The sequence below is a fragment of the Homo sapiens genome, chromosome 16 (assembly GCF_000001405.40).
Source record: "Homo sapiens chromosome 16, GRCh38.p14 Primary Assembly".
Classification (NCBI taxonomy): domain Eukaryota; kingdom Metazoa; phylum Chordata; class Mammalia; order Primates; family Hominidae; genus Homo; species Homo sapiens.
The window spans coordinates 48,207,470-48,224,125 of record NC_000016.10 but is presented as its reverse complement, the minus strand read 5'-3'; the positions used below and the strand labels follow the sequence as shown (position 1 = coordinate 48,224,125).

The window sequence follows — 16,656 nt, the reverse complement described above, 5'->3', positions numbered from 1 at the left end:
GGTGGTTAGGAGTAGCTAACCACCAAGGAGTGGCCCTGTAGCCACTGCTTGGATTCAAACCATGTCCCTGGCACTTAGCTGCTGGGTGACTTCTAGCAATATAGTCACATTCTCTGCGACTTGGTTTCCCCATGGAATCCCATGGGACCCTCAGGTGTAGACCTTATGGAAACCCTTGCATGTAAAATGGAGAGCTGCCTCATAGGGTAACATTAAATGAGATAAGTATATAAAGCATTTAGAACATGGCCTGGCTCAGCACATGTTAGCTCCTCTGAGAAATGGCTGAGCAACTCTGGGAATGTAGGTAGCAGGAAATAATGGTCTTCTCCAGGTAACATGGTTGGGATGAATGTGCTCTATTTCCCATCATTCTCCAGTTCCTCAGCCCAAGAGTCTCATATGAGAGAAAGAGTCTGATTGGCCAGCTGGGGTCACATGATCACTGGTTGGCCAGAAGAAGCGGGGTACTTTGATTTACAGTCCAGCCTAGACTGCACCAATGGGGGAGGTGGGAGTCTTCCCAGAAGAAAACTGAGGCACTGGTACCAGCTACGGGGAGGTGAAGGTAGGTCAGGAAGAAACAGCAGTCGATGACAGAACAGAGATAACTGAGTCGGGTGACAGTTAGGTGCCGGGTCCTCTAGATCCACTCTCCATCATTTTCCATCCTGCCCTGTGCCCCTAATGTGGATCACATTAATGGACCCCCACTGCCCTCTGGCTTCTGGTTGGGGTTGACCGGTGGGAGATTCTAATAGGAGACTGGAAGGAGGAAGAAGATGAGGTCAAGATACATATTCCCCAGGCGGCCTCCCTCCTTGTCCTTGGAGGCTGGTGACCAGAGCTCCTGTCCAGACCCTCTCTGTGTGCCTCACCCCTTTTGGGCCACAGAACCTCTTCCTGCTCTTGCCCCTTAAGTCTAAGGAGGCCACTGTTCCCTGCTGTCACCAGCTTCATGGTGCTCCACCAGGCCTTGTTGGATTTCCTATATTCTGTCTACACCTTTGTAAAGCCACTTTGTTAACGCCTAAATCACTGTTTTGTGTGTGTCCCCTGTCTCCTGTCAGGATGAGGACAGCCACCTAAGGTTGCAGAACTGGGTCAGTTGAACTCCTAAGTCTCCTCCAACTGGACCTTAACCTTCTTGAGGGCAGGATTGTACTTGAGTCAGTTTTGATCCTTCAACAAACCCCCAGCATGAATCAGACCTCCCAACCCTTCTTCCAGCAACAAAACATCAAACGTGTCTGGCAGGGTGGTCTGAATGATCCAAACTCCCATTTCCTTGTAGATATTGATTATACCAAAGATCCTGGAATATTCAGAAGAGCAGTTGGGGAATGTTGTCCATGGAGTGGGACTCTGCTTTGCCCTTTTTCTCTCCGAATGTGTGAAGTCTCTGAGTTTCTCCTCCAGTTGGATCATCAACCAACGCACAGCCATCAGGTTCCGAGCAGCTGTTTCCTCCTTTGCCTTTGAGAAGCTCATCCAATTTAAGTCTGTAATACACATCACCTCAGGAGAGGTAAGCAGCTGGGACTGCCTATTCTGGGCCATGCTTCCCTACCCTTCCTCCGGACATAACTGCCCTGGGGGCCAAGAGAGGGAGAAAAGGGGGTTAGAAGAGGAAGGAGAAAGAGAAAGAAAATAATTCCTAGGTTGAGTGTGGATAACCATTAACAATTGCCTGTGTGTCATGAAAGCAGGTCAACAATAATGCAGGAAATGCCACTTACATTCAGAGACTAGAGAGGATTTATCCATTCATTCAACAAGTAGGAACTTTGGGAGGCCCAGGCAGGAGGATTGTTTAAGTCAGGAGTTCAAGACTAGCCTGGGCAACATGGAAAGACTCCGTCTCTACCAAAAAACAAAACAAAGCAAAAACAAAAATCAGCCATCTGTGGTGGCTCATGTCTTGTAATCCCAGTTGTGGAAGGCCAAGGCAGGAGGATTGCTTGAATCCAGGAGTTTGAGACTAGCCTGGGCAACATGGCAAGACCCTATTTCTACTTCCAACCCTGCAAAAAAAAAAAAAAAATTAGCTGGGCTTGGTGGTACATGCCTGTAGACCCAGCTACTCAGGAGGCTGAGGTGGGAGGATCATCTGAGCCCAGGGAGGTTGAGGCTGCAGTGAGCCATGATCACGCCACTGCACTCTAGCCTGGGAAACAGAGTGACAGCCTGTCTCAAAAAAAAAAAAAAAGACAAAAATTAACCAGGCATGGTGGTATATACCTATAGTCCCATCTACTTGAGAGGCTAATGCAGGAGGATCGCTTGAGCCCAAGAGTTCAAGGCTGCAGTGAACTATTATCACACCACTGTACTCCAGCCTAGGTGATGGAGCGAGACCCTGTCTCAAACACACACACACACACACACCCCAAATAGTTACTGAGGCCTATTCTGAGCCAGATTATGTTCTAGACCCTGGGGATAGGCCCCTGAACAAAAAGACACAAATCCCAAATAGAAGCATGTTGGAAAGTGCGTCCCCTAAGCCAACCTGAGGGTGAGGGTATGGGAAGACTTGATGGCTTAGGGAAATCTTCCAGGGAAAAGCAATTTTTGGTAACATCTCAGAGTTTTAATTTCCTTATCTGCAAAAAAGGAATCCTTTCACCTGCCTGGTTATTGTTACTGTCCATTCTTACTCTTGCTTTTTTTTTTTTTACAGCATAACACAAACAACCATTGACAGAAATGGAGGAAGAAACTCCAACTTATGACCTATAGTTGTGGGGGATACTGGGATTTCATCTATTTCATTTTGATATCTTTATTTTTCTGTGGTTTACCAATTGCCTCGAGGGTTGTGGGTTACTTTGATATTGAAACAGATACTTTAATTTTTGGAAAAGGCAACACTGCTTTGGCTCCTTTCCTTTAAGCCAACCCCCTTTGTGATCTGTTATTAGCCCCTTTCCAGCCTCATCTCTTCCTGTGTCCTCTCCTCTAGCCCTAGCTTGACTTCCTCCTGCCACCTAGGCTGGGCTTAACCTCCAGTCCTCAATTACACCGGGCACATCCCCCTCCTGGTGACTTTGCTTATGTCACTCCCACTCCCAGCCCTTTAAAAATCCCACTCATCCTTCAAGACCCAGTTTATTTTTCCTCTCCTCCGTGACGGGATCTCCAAACCCAGCCTTCTACTGGCATTCCCTGCTAAGCATTTGCAGTTCTTTTTGCACAAATCTGGCTGCCCTACTAATATGAGCCCCCTTCAAAGACACAAACCATTTCAGATTCACCACTCTGTCTCTCAAAAGGCCCAACACCTGAATTACACAGAACAGATATTCCAAAAACATCTGCTGAATTATTCATTGCCATCAAGTAGAGGCGTTCCATAAATGCAAGCACTAACAAACATTAGGTATTTATTGGAATCATTATGGTTATTACTGTTCACCATTTTATTGGTTCTGTGGCCTTAGGTAATTTGTTCAGCCTCTCTGAAGCTGTGGAATAATAATAGAACCAACCTCATAGGATTGTTGTCTCATAGGATTCAGTGAGTTTGTACATGTAAAGCATGTAGACGGGGGTAGTGGTTGACAAGTGTAAGCTGTACAATTAGTGTTAGTTTCCATTAGGCCTTGAGCTCCACTGTCCTCCTGCACTTGACCCACAGCTAAAAGATCTCCCTGTTTATCTCAGGAAAGTCATCGTAACAACCCCTAACTTACTCTTAGCCATACGTTGCTCCAAGTCATTACTTACATTCGCTTGGTCAGTTCTCTAACATCCCTCTTGTGTGGCAGTTTCTGTTATTGTCCCCATTGTCACAAAGGAGGAAACTGAGGCAAGGAAAGGGTAGGTAACTTGTACAAGGTCATGTGATTGCTAAGTGCTGGGGCCTGAATTTGGACATGGTGCCTGGCTGCAGAGTCCGGGTCTTCAACCCTTGCAGTCACCCGCCTCACTAAGGAGCCCTGTGCTAAGGCCTAGCTTGGTTCCTTTCTGTATATTCTGAGCACCTGCTGTATGCAAAATCCAGTTTCCTCAAACATCTTCATAGAAGCATAAAACAAAATGGTCTATTTGAGAGTGGAGATGGAAGTAATTTCTGAAGTAAGGATTTCTAGGCAGTTGCTTATATACATTTTAATTTAATTCAATTAATTAATTTATTTTTGAGCTGGAGTTTCCCTATTGTTGCCCAGGCTGGAATGCAATAGTGCAACCTTGGCTCACTGCAACATCTGCCTTCTGGGTTCAAGCGATTCTCCTGCCTCAGCCTCCCGAGTAGCTGGGACTACAGGTGTGTGCCACCACGCCTGGCTAATTTTTGTATTTTTAGTAGAGACGGGGTTTCACCATGTTGGCCAGGCTGGTCTCAAACTCCTGACCTTAGGTGACCTGCCTACTTTGGCCTCCCAAAGTGCTGGGATTACAGGCATGAGCCACAGCTCCCAGCCTACATTTTATTTTTAAATTAATTAAAAAATTTTCTTTTACTTAAAAACATTTCTTTGTCCTTTCTCTTGCACTAAAATTAATTTTTTAAAATTATCTGAATACATTCTCCTTGGAAACAAAATAAAATAGTATAGAAGTTGCCTTAGGCCTAGTTTCTTCCCCTGTGCCCAGAGATTAGCACCATTAGCAACTTGGTTTTTGTACTTCAGACCTTTTAAAGCACATTTGACTGGACAGGATGGCTCACACCTGTAATCCCAGCACTTTGGGATGCCGAGTTGGATGAATCGCTTGAGTTCAGTAGTTTGTGACCAGCTTTGGCAACAGAGCGAAATCCCATCTCTACCAAAAATGCAAAAAGTTAGCTGGGCGTGGTGGCGTGCGCCTGTGGTCCCAGCTACTTAGGAGGCTGAGGAAGGAAGATGGCTTGAGCCCAGAAGGCATAGGTTGCAGTGAGCTGAGATTGTACCACTGAACCCCAGCCTGGACAACATAGTGAGACCCAGTCTCAAAAAAAAAAAAAAAAAACCCAAAACCAAAACAGTCCATTTAGGTACACATGCAAGGTACCCATAAAAAACATTGGATTTTGTGTTTGTGTATTTTTATGTAAGTGGTACTATGTTTTACATAGCGTCCTCCTCTTGGTTTTGCCAATAGAAAATGTAGAACATAGCTTTTGGGGGATTTTTTACATCAATGATACTACATCTTTGTGTTGCTTTGTAGCTTTCCCTCCTGCTTATTGTGACTGAGCTTTCCAGAGCTTTCCAGTTAGCACACATAGATCGTCCTTATTTGTATTAGTCCATTTTCACGCTGCTGATAAAAACATACCCAAGACTGGGTAATTTATAAAGGAAAAGAGGCTTAGTGGACTCACAGTTCCACGTGGCTGGGGAGGCCTCACAATCATGGCGGAAGGTGAAAGGCACATCTTACATGGTGGCAGACAAGGGAGACTGAGAGAGCTTGTGTAGGGAAACTCCCCCCATATAAAACCATCAGATATTGTGAGACTTAGTCACTGTCATGAGAATAGTCCCTCCCACAACATATGGTGATTGTGGGAGCTACAATTCAAGATGAGATTTGGGTGGGAACCCAGCCAAACCATATCATTATTTTATTCAGTGATGCTGAATCATAATTACAGTACTTTTGACATGCCTGAATAAAGTGCTATATATGCATTATCTAGCACCGTTCTCAAATCAATATGAGAAAGTAGGTTGTATTATTATTTCCATTTCACTGATGAGGTGACAGAGGCACAGAGACGTGGAGTAACTTGTCTATGGTTGCACATCTAGTAAATGACAAGTCTGGGGCATGAGCTCTGACAGTTTAGCTCTAGGACCCAAGATTGCCTACTACTTCTGGGGTGACTTTGTTGTTGTCTGAGACAGGTTCTCACTCTATCACCCAGGCTGGAGTGCAGTGGTGCCACCATAGCTCACTGCAGTCTGGACCTCCTGGGCTCCAGCAATCATCCTCTCTCAGCCTCCTGAGTAGCTAGGACTACAGGCACACACCACCATGCTTGGCTAATTTTTAATTTTTTTTAGAGATGGGGTCTTGCTATGTTGCCCAGGCTGGTCTTGAACTCCTGGCCTCAAACAATCATCCTGCCTCAGCCTCCCAGAGTGTTGGGATCGTAGATGTGAGCCACTTTGCACAGCCTGGGATGGACTTTTTAAATCCTTTTCCACCAACTTGTAAGATGTTTCCAGCATTTGGCTGGTGTAAGCAGTGCTGTAATGAACATCCTTGTATGTGCTTCATCTAACATGTGTGAATGTTTCGCAACAGAAAAATGAAATTGCCAGATCATAGAGTTTTGTGCAATTTTTAATCTTAAAAGATACTTTAAAATTGCCCTTCAGAGTGGCTATACCAATTTATGCTCCCTGATGTACTTTTAAATGTTTTAAAGGCTCCCACTAGGGCATGTCCTGGAAACTGGAAGGAGTTTAGGTGAAAGTTAAAAGCAAATCACTTTGTAAGGGATTCAGACTGGCAATTCTAGAAAACATTAGTGAATTGTTCTTTAAAGATTTCCTGATTTGGAATGTAAGATTTTGTGTTTTTGTTTTTATTTTGAGACTAGGTCTCATTCTCTTGCTCAGGCTGAAGTGCAGTGGCATGATTACAGCTCATTGCAGCCTTGATCTGCCGGGCTCAAGTAATCCTCCCGCCTCAGCCTCCTGAGAAGCTGGGACTACAGGCATGTGCCCCCGTGCCTGGCTAATTTTCCTACTTTTTATAGAGACGGGGTTTCACCATGTTGTTCAGGCTGGTGTCAAACTCCTGGGCCCAAGTGATCCACCCACCTTGGCCTCCCTGTGCCCGGCCAAATGTTACTTTTTATATAGCGTTGAGCCAGGCAGTATATGTGGGAGGAGGGAAGTAGGCAGAAGAATCTATAACAAAAAAGAAAAAAAAGGAGAAAATTTAATTAATATTATTATTAGTAGTAGAATGAATAGAATCGAGTGAAGAATAGAAGCAATTCTCTGGAATATAGATATTAGTGGTGTTACCAAGCAAAAGGGGCTCACTGCCTAATGTGCTAGAAGCCAATACTTTGACACTGGGTTTTTGAGAAAAGAAAAGCTTTTTATTGCAAATTGGCTCACAAGGAGACAGGAGTCCAGCCCAGATCTGTCTCCTTGTCCTTGCTTTAAGACAGTGATTTTATTAGGAAAGATTTAAGGGGTGGATTCTGAGATTAGTAGGTGATTGGTGGAATGAGAGGGGAGGTCTGAAAAGCCCTTGTGTATATGCAGTGATCTCTTCATGTCTCTTCATGGGTCCCATTTGCAAATTCACAGGGAATTAGTATGAAATATGTGGTGAAAATTTAGGCTGTGACGTTAGCAAGCTGGTTCTGTACAGACTCTAGTTAGCCATACTGGTTCCACCGATTTTAGCCAGTTCTGTTATCTTAAAAGCAGAGGGACTTTCAGCAAGTTGTTTCTTTCTGTAACTGCTATCCTACAAACTCAAGAATTTCTGTTAGTTACTGGTTTCTTTAACTCTTTGGGTCATGGTTTCAGTAGCAGTAGTAATAGTAGTAGTATTAATCGTAGTAAAATATCCCTTTTATTGAGCACATTCTATGTGTGCAGACACTTTCTATGTTATTGAAATCTCACAAAACCCATATAAAGTAAGTATAATTATTCCAGCTTTACAGATGGAGAAGCTGAGGCTCAGAGTGGTAAAGTAACTTGTTGAGAGTCACACAGCCAGAGAGAAGAAAGATGTGAACCTGGGGTGTCTGTCTCTACTCTTCCACCCTTCCTTTCAAGCCTTCCTGCTAGGAGAGGGCATGGGGAGGCCACCTGCCACCCCTTCTGTGTACCCAGGGAGGTGACATCTGTGCCCATCAACTTGCTGTCTTGCAGGCCATCAGCTTCTTCACCGGTGATGTAAACTACCTGTTTGAAGGGGTGTGCTATGGACCCCTAGTACTGATCACCTGCGCATCGCTGGTCATCTGCAGCATTTCTTCCTACTTCATTATTGGATACACTGCATTTATTGCCATCTTATGCTATCTCCTGGTTTTCCCACTGGCGGTAATGTCTTTCTCTGTCACCCATTTGATGCTGGGCCCCAGAAGTCCCAGGGCTCTGGAATCTGGGATAGCTCTGAGTGAGAACATTGATTCTTGTTGACCTTTCAATCCATTGTGGTTAAGATTCAGCTCCACTCCCTACTTCAAACTATTCTCTGGCCACAACATTCGGTTAAGAAGTAAATAAGAGGTGAATGTGATGTGCAAAGTCTACCTCGTAGCTTTCTATGGGAGATTATCTGCTTCGACAACTTTCCTTTGTAGATAATCTCTGTGCGAGATTTTTGTTCCGTCTCTTCTCCCCAGAATGTGCTGATGTAATAACACAGCCAGCATTTAACATTTGTCTGAGCACAGTATAATGGGGAAAGGGAAGCATATTTGTTGCCAAAGATTCAGGTGAAATAAAATTGAGAAAACAGAAATGATTCTTGGATTATGTGTGCTCTGAATTATTGAAATTGAGTGTTTTCCTGAGTGCAGTCACTCTGATGGAAAGATGATTTTAATTATTAGAGGGTTTAGGGTTCCAGAAGACAGAGGAACCATTTCGGTTTAGTTTCTGTCTAAGTAGCCATAGCCTGGCTTGGGACTCAGGAAAGAAAGGCCCCTGGGATGCTCTAAGGCATAGTGGCCTGGAGAGCTTTGATTGGAAAACCTCTCTTTGGAAATACACCCAGTTGCCCTACTTATGCCAGGCTGAACTCTCCTGCCCTTGTCAAAGGAAGCCCTTGCAGATCAACTCCAAACTTGCTGTATCCTGACTCCAGGTATTCATGACAAGAATGGCTGTGAAGGCTCAGCATCACACATCTGAGGTCAGCGACCAGCGCATCCGTGTGACCAGTGAAGTTCTCACTTGCATTAAGCTGATTAAAATGTACACATGGGAGAAACCATTTGCAAAAATCATTGAAGGTATGGAAAGTCTGACTTTCTGCTCCAAACCTGGTGATGGCATGGTAAGCCGAGCCCCTCTCACCTCTTGAGGATTTTTTTTCTTTTTAATGCTTTGGGGATGGTGCTGTGCTCTTTGGAGAATGTTCTTGTGGTTATCTTTGGTGTATTTCTTTTTTATTTCCCAGACCTAAGAAGGAAGGAAAGGAAACTATTGGAGAAGTGCGGGCTTGTCCAGAGCCTGACAAGTATAACCTTGTTCATCATCCCCACAGTGGCCACAGCGGTCTGGGTTCTCATCCACACATCCTTAAAGCTGAAACTCACAGCGTCAATGGTAAGGGTTTGGGGGGCTTTGTTTTCTCCCCATCATGATTGGGAATTTTCTCACGTGTCCTTTTTTAGCCATGCCCCTCAAAGGTCTGAAGGCTTTGTAAATGGACATTATATGTTGATTTTGATTTTCCAGACAAAAGTACAGTGCTGTCTTCCATCTCAACCCATCTGAAAAAGTGACATCTTGGATAGCCCTGTGGGCGGGCTGGACAGCAGAACCATCGGGGGTGTGGGGGAGGTGGTACTTGTAGTTAAAATTCTGACAATTTGAATAACACCTTGAGGTTGTGGAGTTCCTCTAATCCCTAAATAAGGGCCCTGGGAGTGCACTTTAAATACAAAGGTATAGCGTCTTCAGTCCTTCCCTTCGTGGTCGGAACCTGGCCCTGAGAAGTGGCAGCTGCCTTTCAGTGTTAGGAATCCCTGCTCTTTGAGCAGAATAAGACAGGGTGCTGCTCTTGGAGGGGTGGTAATCCAACTGGGGAGGCCAGGAGGCAGCACCCAGAGCAAGAAGGGAAGCATTTGAGAGTCTGCAGCCAAGGGGTTGTGTGTGCCCCAGATGGCTGGCCCCTCTGCTTGGCTCAGGCATGCACCAGGAAAACACCCCCGAGAAGTCTGAGGGTGTTGGGGGCGCTATAGAAGGAATACTTTCAGAGGTACTTGAGGCTCACACTGAGATGACACAAGGCAGGTCTAGACGAAGGCATTCCTGCTCCATTGGAGTTCATTTTTGGATGAAGCCAGGAGAAGAAAGAAGGAGAGATGGGTATGGATTGGAAGGTTCTTTCGGCACCTCCAGGAGGGCACCTTCTGGGTCCTGAGAGCCTAAGGTGTTTTGCTATAGTCACAGTGCAGCATGGGTTAGGCATGAAGGGTAAGGAGATGTTGAATGTTAGAAAGAAAACAAACATCTAAGGCAAAGAAGAAGAAATAGGACCTTGACAGCAAGAATAGCACCAAGCTACATTGAAAGGAAGCAATGCTCACTCACATGAATTTTCTTGTTTTTTCCCAACTTTATTCCTGTATACACTTTATGATTTTTCTCACTATGCCAATGGGGAAACTGGGCTGTGGTAGGGGCAACCTGCCCAAAGCTAGAGATGTCAGTGGCTAAGCTGCAACAGGGACTAGGCCTTTGACTCTAAGACTCCAGGACGAGTGCTCTTTCCCCAGCTTTTTCCAGTCTCCTCCAAACACTAGCTTAGCCTCTGTTGGATGAAGCAACTGCTTGTTGGATGCTGAGGATGTGGCTCAGGGATGCGGGTGACAGGGAATGGAGGAAGCAGGAAGGGCCACGACCCTCACCACCTCCTCCCCTTCTTATCCAGGCCTTCAGCATGCTGGCCTCCTTGAATCTCCTTCGGCTGTCAGTGTTCTTTGTGCCTATTGCAGTCAAAGGTCTCACGAATTCCAAGTCTGCAGTGATGAGGTTCAAGGTAGGTCATCAGGGGACTGGCTGTAGGCCCCCTGCTTGGACGCTCCTCTGCCTTCAGCCCCCATGATGTTCCTCCAGAACACGTCCCCTGGCCAAGGCCTAGGTCGAGAGAGGGATTAGCTAACTCAGTGACCTCCTGTTCCAAGGCTGGTGTGGAGCCTGGGAAGACAGATGAATCGGGTCAGGTCTCAGTCCCCAAGAAGATCTTAGGATAGTGTGTCCAAACCAGGTCTCAGACAGATGCTCTGCAGACTTTATCCAGGTTTGCATAGAGTTACCCCAATAGATAGTTTTGTTTTAGAAAAACACCATAGATGTTGCTTGCATTGAAAAACTTGGACATTTTATGTGAAAACCCAGATTTTTGAATTCTCTTGAATGATTAGAAGGTCTAGTGACCCTGGACCACATTCTACCATGGCCACAAGCCGCTGGAGTTGAGGCAATACCTGCCTTGTTTAGATGGAGGCATTTAGCTGCAGTTTGCTGCAGTCTCTACCATACCCTATTGCACCTCCAGGCCTGGAGCTGCATTTTACTTACCATTTATCATCTTAAAAATGGTCCACTTCACTTATTTACATAGCTGGCATCTGAGTTTGAAAACCCTAATCTAAACCAATTCTTAAAAGTCATTTTGTAGTCACTCCACTTTTACATACATGCAGTCCACGACCTATTATCACTCATTCACTCATTAATGCAAAAAATATTTATTGAGCTCCTACCACAAGCCAGGCACTGAGAATACTGTATTGAACAGGGGTCCCTGCTGTCAGGGAGTTCTGATTTGGTATTGGAAACAGACAATTAACAAGTAAATTAATGATCAAAGAGGATTAGATCAGATCACATGAAGAGCCATGATGCCAATAAAACAATGTGATGTCCTAGAGCAAGCTTGTCCAACCTGGGTCACAGGTCGCATGCGGCCCAGGATGGCTTTGAATGTGGCCCAACACAAATTTGTAAACTTTCTTAAAACATTAGGTGATTTTTATTTTTGCTGTTTTTTTTCTTAGCTCATTAGCTATCATTGGTGTTAGTGTATTTTCTGTGTGGCCCAAGACAGTTCTTCCAGTGTGCCCCAGGGAAGCCAAGGGATTGGACACGCCTGTTCTAGGGAGTAAGTTGGGGAGGGCTGGGGGTTCCTAGGAAGAGCCTGGTTAGGGAAGGCCCCTGCGAAGATGACTTTGAGTGATGATGACCAGGCTGAGGAAACAGCAAGTGTGAAAGCCCTGAGGCTGGAATGAGCTTGGCTGCTCTGAGTAACACAAACAGTGCTTTGCTTATCACCAGCCCAGTGCGCTTCCCTGACTTCTCAGCAGCTATGAGAAGGCTCCTACTGCTGCCTTCCTTCCCATGGGACACTGGGTTCACCCATTCATTCTCCCCTTCTGTGCCTGTTTTCACCTGTGGAGGGGGCAGAGATGAGGAAGCCACAATCTGAGCTCAGAAGGATGGGTAAGAGAGTCCAAAATGTCAGGAAGCATCCTTCTAGATCTCTTAAGCATATCTCCAGGTAGGGATATGTGAATGTAACCTGACTTCCATAGGATCATACTCCCCTCCATTCTTTTAATTGCTTGAATTTATGTAGTTCAACCCTTGTGCTTTATAGACAGGGAGCTGGAGATGCAGAGAGAATTGACCTGCTGATGATCACCTTTTGAAATGTATGACCCCAAATGACCTTTCCCCAGTGTGGGACACGGACAGAGCTTTTTATTTTCAATAGCTACAAGTAGATTTTTTTTTTTTTAAAGAGATGGAAGTCTCACTATGGTCCCCAGGCTGGTCTTAAACTCCCAAGCTTAAGCAATCCCCCGACTTGGCCTCCCAAAGTGCTAGGATTACAGACATGAGCCATTATGTCCAGCCCAATCTAAATAGAATTTAATTGGAAAAACATCAATCCTATGAGTCAATGGCTATCATCACTTGGGATGAGGCTAATGTAGGTTAGGCCTTAGTCAACCTCCTGAGCGCAGAGTTGCAGTTGACAGTGCAGTGTTTGCAAATATGGAAGAGTGGCCCGGTGGTCTGAAATTTGGAAAACACTGACCTGGAATTTTCACCCACAGAAACTGGCCTTTCCTAACTGGTGGTACTTCTGCAAACTTTTACTGCTTATTAGAAATTCACAAAACCATACCAACTGGCAGACTTGTAAAACTGGGAACACATTCCTGCTGAACTAAAGAACTGTATTCCTCCTCCCTCTATTTTTTTCTGTCTTTACAGAAGTTTTTCCTCCAGGAGAGCCCTGTTTTCTATGTCCAGACATTACAAGACCCCAGCAAAGCTCTGGTCTTTGAGGAGGCCACCTTGTCATGGCAACAGACCTGTCCCGGGATCGTCAATGGGGCACTGGAGCTGGAGAGGAACGGGCATGCTTCTGAGGGGATGACCAGGCCTAGAGATGCCCTCGGGCCAGAGGAAGAAGGGAACAGCCTGGGCCCAGAGTTGCACAAGATCAACCTGGTGGTGTCCAAGGTAGCCTTGTTCAGGCCACGCAGGCAGGCCAGCTGCCAGGCTCTCAGGACCTGAGGCTAGGAGCTTGGCCAGGTGCCCCACCATTTCCTTGGTTAAAAACTGCCCTCTCCAAGATCTCTCCCCTTAAAATTCAAATTTTTCATGGAGGGCAAACACAGGATATCGTTCATTTTTTAATGTGAATTAATCTATCATTTAAAATTTTTTTGGCTTAGGTAAGACCCAAAATAATATGAGAGTACTGTGTGCTTGTCCTTGGAAGAACTAAGGACACAGAAAGGAGAAGGGAAAGGAGACCCAGCTAACATTTATTACATTCCTCGTATGTGCCAAGCACTATCCTGTGTTTGAATTTGGTTATTCTGTGAACTCACCTTATCTGGTTCTTTCTCTGCCTAATGTTTACAAAAATTAGCTTCCTGCTGTCTCCTCTTCGCCCCTCCTCTTTTCTTCTCTGTTATCTATTAATGTAGATATTGATACCTTATAATAATTGATATAGAATAGATATAGATATTGATCTATATATAATGATAAATGTCTAAAAAATAGATAATATCTAGTAGTAATAGGTGTTAATATCTAATATCTACTGTCTCTTATCTATTTATACTTTCTTCCTTGGTGATCATCTCTAGCCCTGCGGTTTTAAATTCTATCTCTGTGCTATTATCTCTAGCCTTGAAGTATCTTCTGGACTCCAGACTCAACTGCCTATTTAATATCTCTCTTAAATGTCCATCAAGCATTTAAAATGAAATAAGGTTTTGATATTCACCCCCTTTGACGAGTTCCCCAAATCTTCCGTTTCCTGGGAGATGGCACCATCATCCTTCCAGTGGTTGAGGACCTGGAAGTCACACTTGATTCCTTTCCTTCCCTCCCTCGAATCCAATCCACCAGCAAGGCCTGTCAGCTTGACTTCCACATCTGCCCCAAACCTGCCACCCTCACCATAGCCCCTCCACTGCCCTATCCCTGCCACTGTCACGCCGCTCCCAGAACCTCCTCATCCACCTCTCTGCTCCCACTTTCGCCTTCTTATGAGCCTTCTACCATACAGCAGACAGAGGGATTTTCCTTTTTTAAATAATTAATATATATTTTTTATTTCAATAGCTTTTGGGGTACGAGTGGGTTTTGGTTAGACGGAGGAGTTGTATTGTGGTGAAGTCGAGATTTTAGTGCACCCGTGACCCGATAGAGTGCATTGTACCCAATAGGTAGTTTGTATCTCTCGCCCCACTCCCATCCTCTGTCTCTCTGACCCTCCAAAATCCATTATACCAGGGGACCCCGACACCTGGGCGGTAGACCTGCACTGGTCCACAGCCTGTTAGAAACCAGGCCGCACAGCAGGAGGTGAGCAGCAGGCCAGTGAGCATCACCGCCTGAGCTCCGCCTCTTGTCAGATCAGCGGCAGCATTGGATTCTCATAGGAGAGCGAATCTTATTGTGAAGTGTGCATGAGAGGGATCCAGGTTGCACACTCCTTATGAGAATCTTGCCTGATGATCTGAGGTGGAACAGTTTCATCCTGAAACCAATCCCCTGCCATCCCTCAGTTGGTGGAAAAATTGTCTTCCATGAAACTGGTCCCTGGTGCCAAAAAGATTGGGGGCAGCTGCATTATACCATGACAGAGGGATCTTTCTAAAACATAAGCCAATGCAAGTCACTCTCCTTAAACCCTTCAGTGACTTTTCACTGCCCTTAGAGCCCGGGTTCCTCCAAATCTGTACCTGTACCTCTGAACTCTTTCCCACCAGTGTTCTCACAGCTCTTGGGCAGCAATGACACCTGCTCTGTAGAAGCCTTCCCTGGCTGACCCATCTAAAATTGCCTCAACCCCCAACTTTCTGTCTGTCATAAGAGTCAACTTCATTTTACTCATATCACTTATCTCCATCTGATATTTATTTATTTATGTAGTCTCTCTGTCTTCCCATCCCCTCAGCTTATATTCTGAGCTCAATGTGAGGTCTTTTCTTCATTACTAGGTCCATAGAGGAAACTCAGATCACTATTTGATGGGTGAATGAATGCTTCAATAAATGAATGCATGCATGCATGCATGAAATTCTGTGAGGCTGGCTTCTTTATTCCCATTTCACAAATGGAGAAACTGAGGCCCAGAGAGGCTAAGTGGCTTTCCCAGGATTGCTGCATAGAATAGACACAAATCTGGAATTCAGGGTTCTTGCCACCTACCCCTGAATTCCCCTCTGCCTTTCCCTTGTGATCTCCTTCCTCTCGGGTCACCCCACCTGCCTCCAGGGACTGAGCACAAAGCTCCTCTTGAGCTTTGCCTGTCTGAGGAGTCTTGGGCTCTGTGTGGTTATTTTGTTTTCTGTGTGTTGTTTTGGGTTCTAAACAGTTGAGCCGCCATGGGCAGGTGGGTATGCCAGGGCTATGCTGTCCCAACACTTGTATGTCCTCCTTGGCTTGCAGGGGATGATGTTAGGGGTCTGCGGCAACACGGGGAGTGGTAAGAGCAGCCTGTTGTCAGCCATCCTGGAGGAGGTAAGTGATCTGTGGCCACATGCTTGCCTGTCTGCAGGCAGTCCAGGCCCTCCCAAGCTCCAGTGCCCCAGGCGGGGCCCCCCACTGCTTTCTTCCTCACAGGGGTCTGAGCAAGTGGGATTTTTATAAATCAAAAATGGTTGTGCTTGCACTGTGCGGGAGGTGCGTGATCAAGGTGGCCCTCTCTCTTCACCTTGTGGCAGCGCTCCTGGTGCAAGCTGCCTCTTATGTCACCTGGAGACCTGTCCTCACCTGTGCTCTGTGAGGATACAGGATATTAACACAAAGTTAATATGATCATACAAATTATTTCACAGAGAGTTGAGTCTAGTCTCTCTTCCACACTGCAATACCCTCTTGCAATGGTCCCTATAAAAAAAAAAGAGCATAAAAATCATTTTGTAAAGCCAGACTCATAACATTGAGGAGTGGGATGTATGTGCCTTTTAGGATGGCGTCGGAAGAGAAATGTGGGGGGAGAAACAGGGAGAAAGAAGGAAGGAAGGCTGGGGAGAGGAGCCCTGCTGGATGGGATGGGGCAGTCTTACTCGTACTCTGGCAGTGGGGTACCTATGCCTGCTGGGTGCCCTTGCCCTTGAGATTTGAACCCCCCATTCCATCCCCTGTGGACGAGTTTGAGGTCTGCTGCCATGTGGATGTGTGGCTCACACACCCTTTCTCCAGTTTCTTTTTTCTTTCTTTTCTTTCCTTTTTCCCTTCCCTTCCCTTTCCTTCCCTTCCCTTCCCTTCCTTCCTTTCTTTCTTCTTTTTTTTGACACATCCAGTCAGGAGTGCAATGGTGTGATCTTGGCTCACTGCAACCTCTGCCTCCAGGGTTCAAGTGATTCTCATGCCTCAACCTCCTGAGTAGCTGGGACTACAGGCATGCGCCACCATGCCCAGCTAATTTTTGTATTTTTTGGTAGAGACGTGGTTTCACCATGTTGACCAGGCT

At 45.6% G+C, this 16,656-nt stretch overlaps 1 protein-coding gene across 14 annotated transcripts in view; it reads left to right on the top strand.

Annotated features, from left to right (window-relative positions):
• The window catches only part of ABCC11 (ATP binding cassette subfamily C member 11), an 82,721-nt gene that overhangs the window by 23,414 nt on the left and 42,651 nt on the right, over positions 1–16,656 (top strand). For 11 of the 14 annotated variants that reach the window (XR_007064925.1, XM_017023798.3, XM_017023797.3 and 8 more), the window contains 7 exons: positions 1,295–1,528; positions 7,839–8,012; positions 8,782–8,929; positions 9,097–9,245; positions 10,576–10,683; positions 12,927–13,178; positions 15,630–15,701. Coding sequence is in view for 13 of the 14 variants with exons in the window: in XM_017023798.3 (XP_016879287.1) it covers positions 1,295–1,528; positions 7,839–8,012; positions 8,782–8,929; positions 9,097–9,245; positions 10,576–10,683; positions 12,927–13,178; positions 15,630–15,701 (1,137 nt within the window). In the remaining variant the exon portion in view is untranslated. Of the gene's footprint in view, positions 1–1,294; positions 1,529–7,394; positions 7,446–7,838; positions 8,013–8,039; positions 8,411–8,781; positions 8,930–9,096; positions 9,246–10,575; positions 10,684–12,926; positions 13,179–15,629; positions 15,702–16,656 lie in introns of those variants that run through there. The other 3 variants (XM_024450475.2, XM_017023801.3, XM_017023802.3) reach the window with 3 other exon arrangements.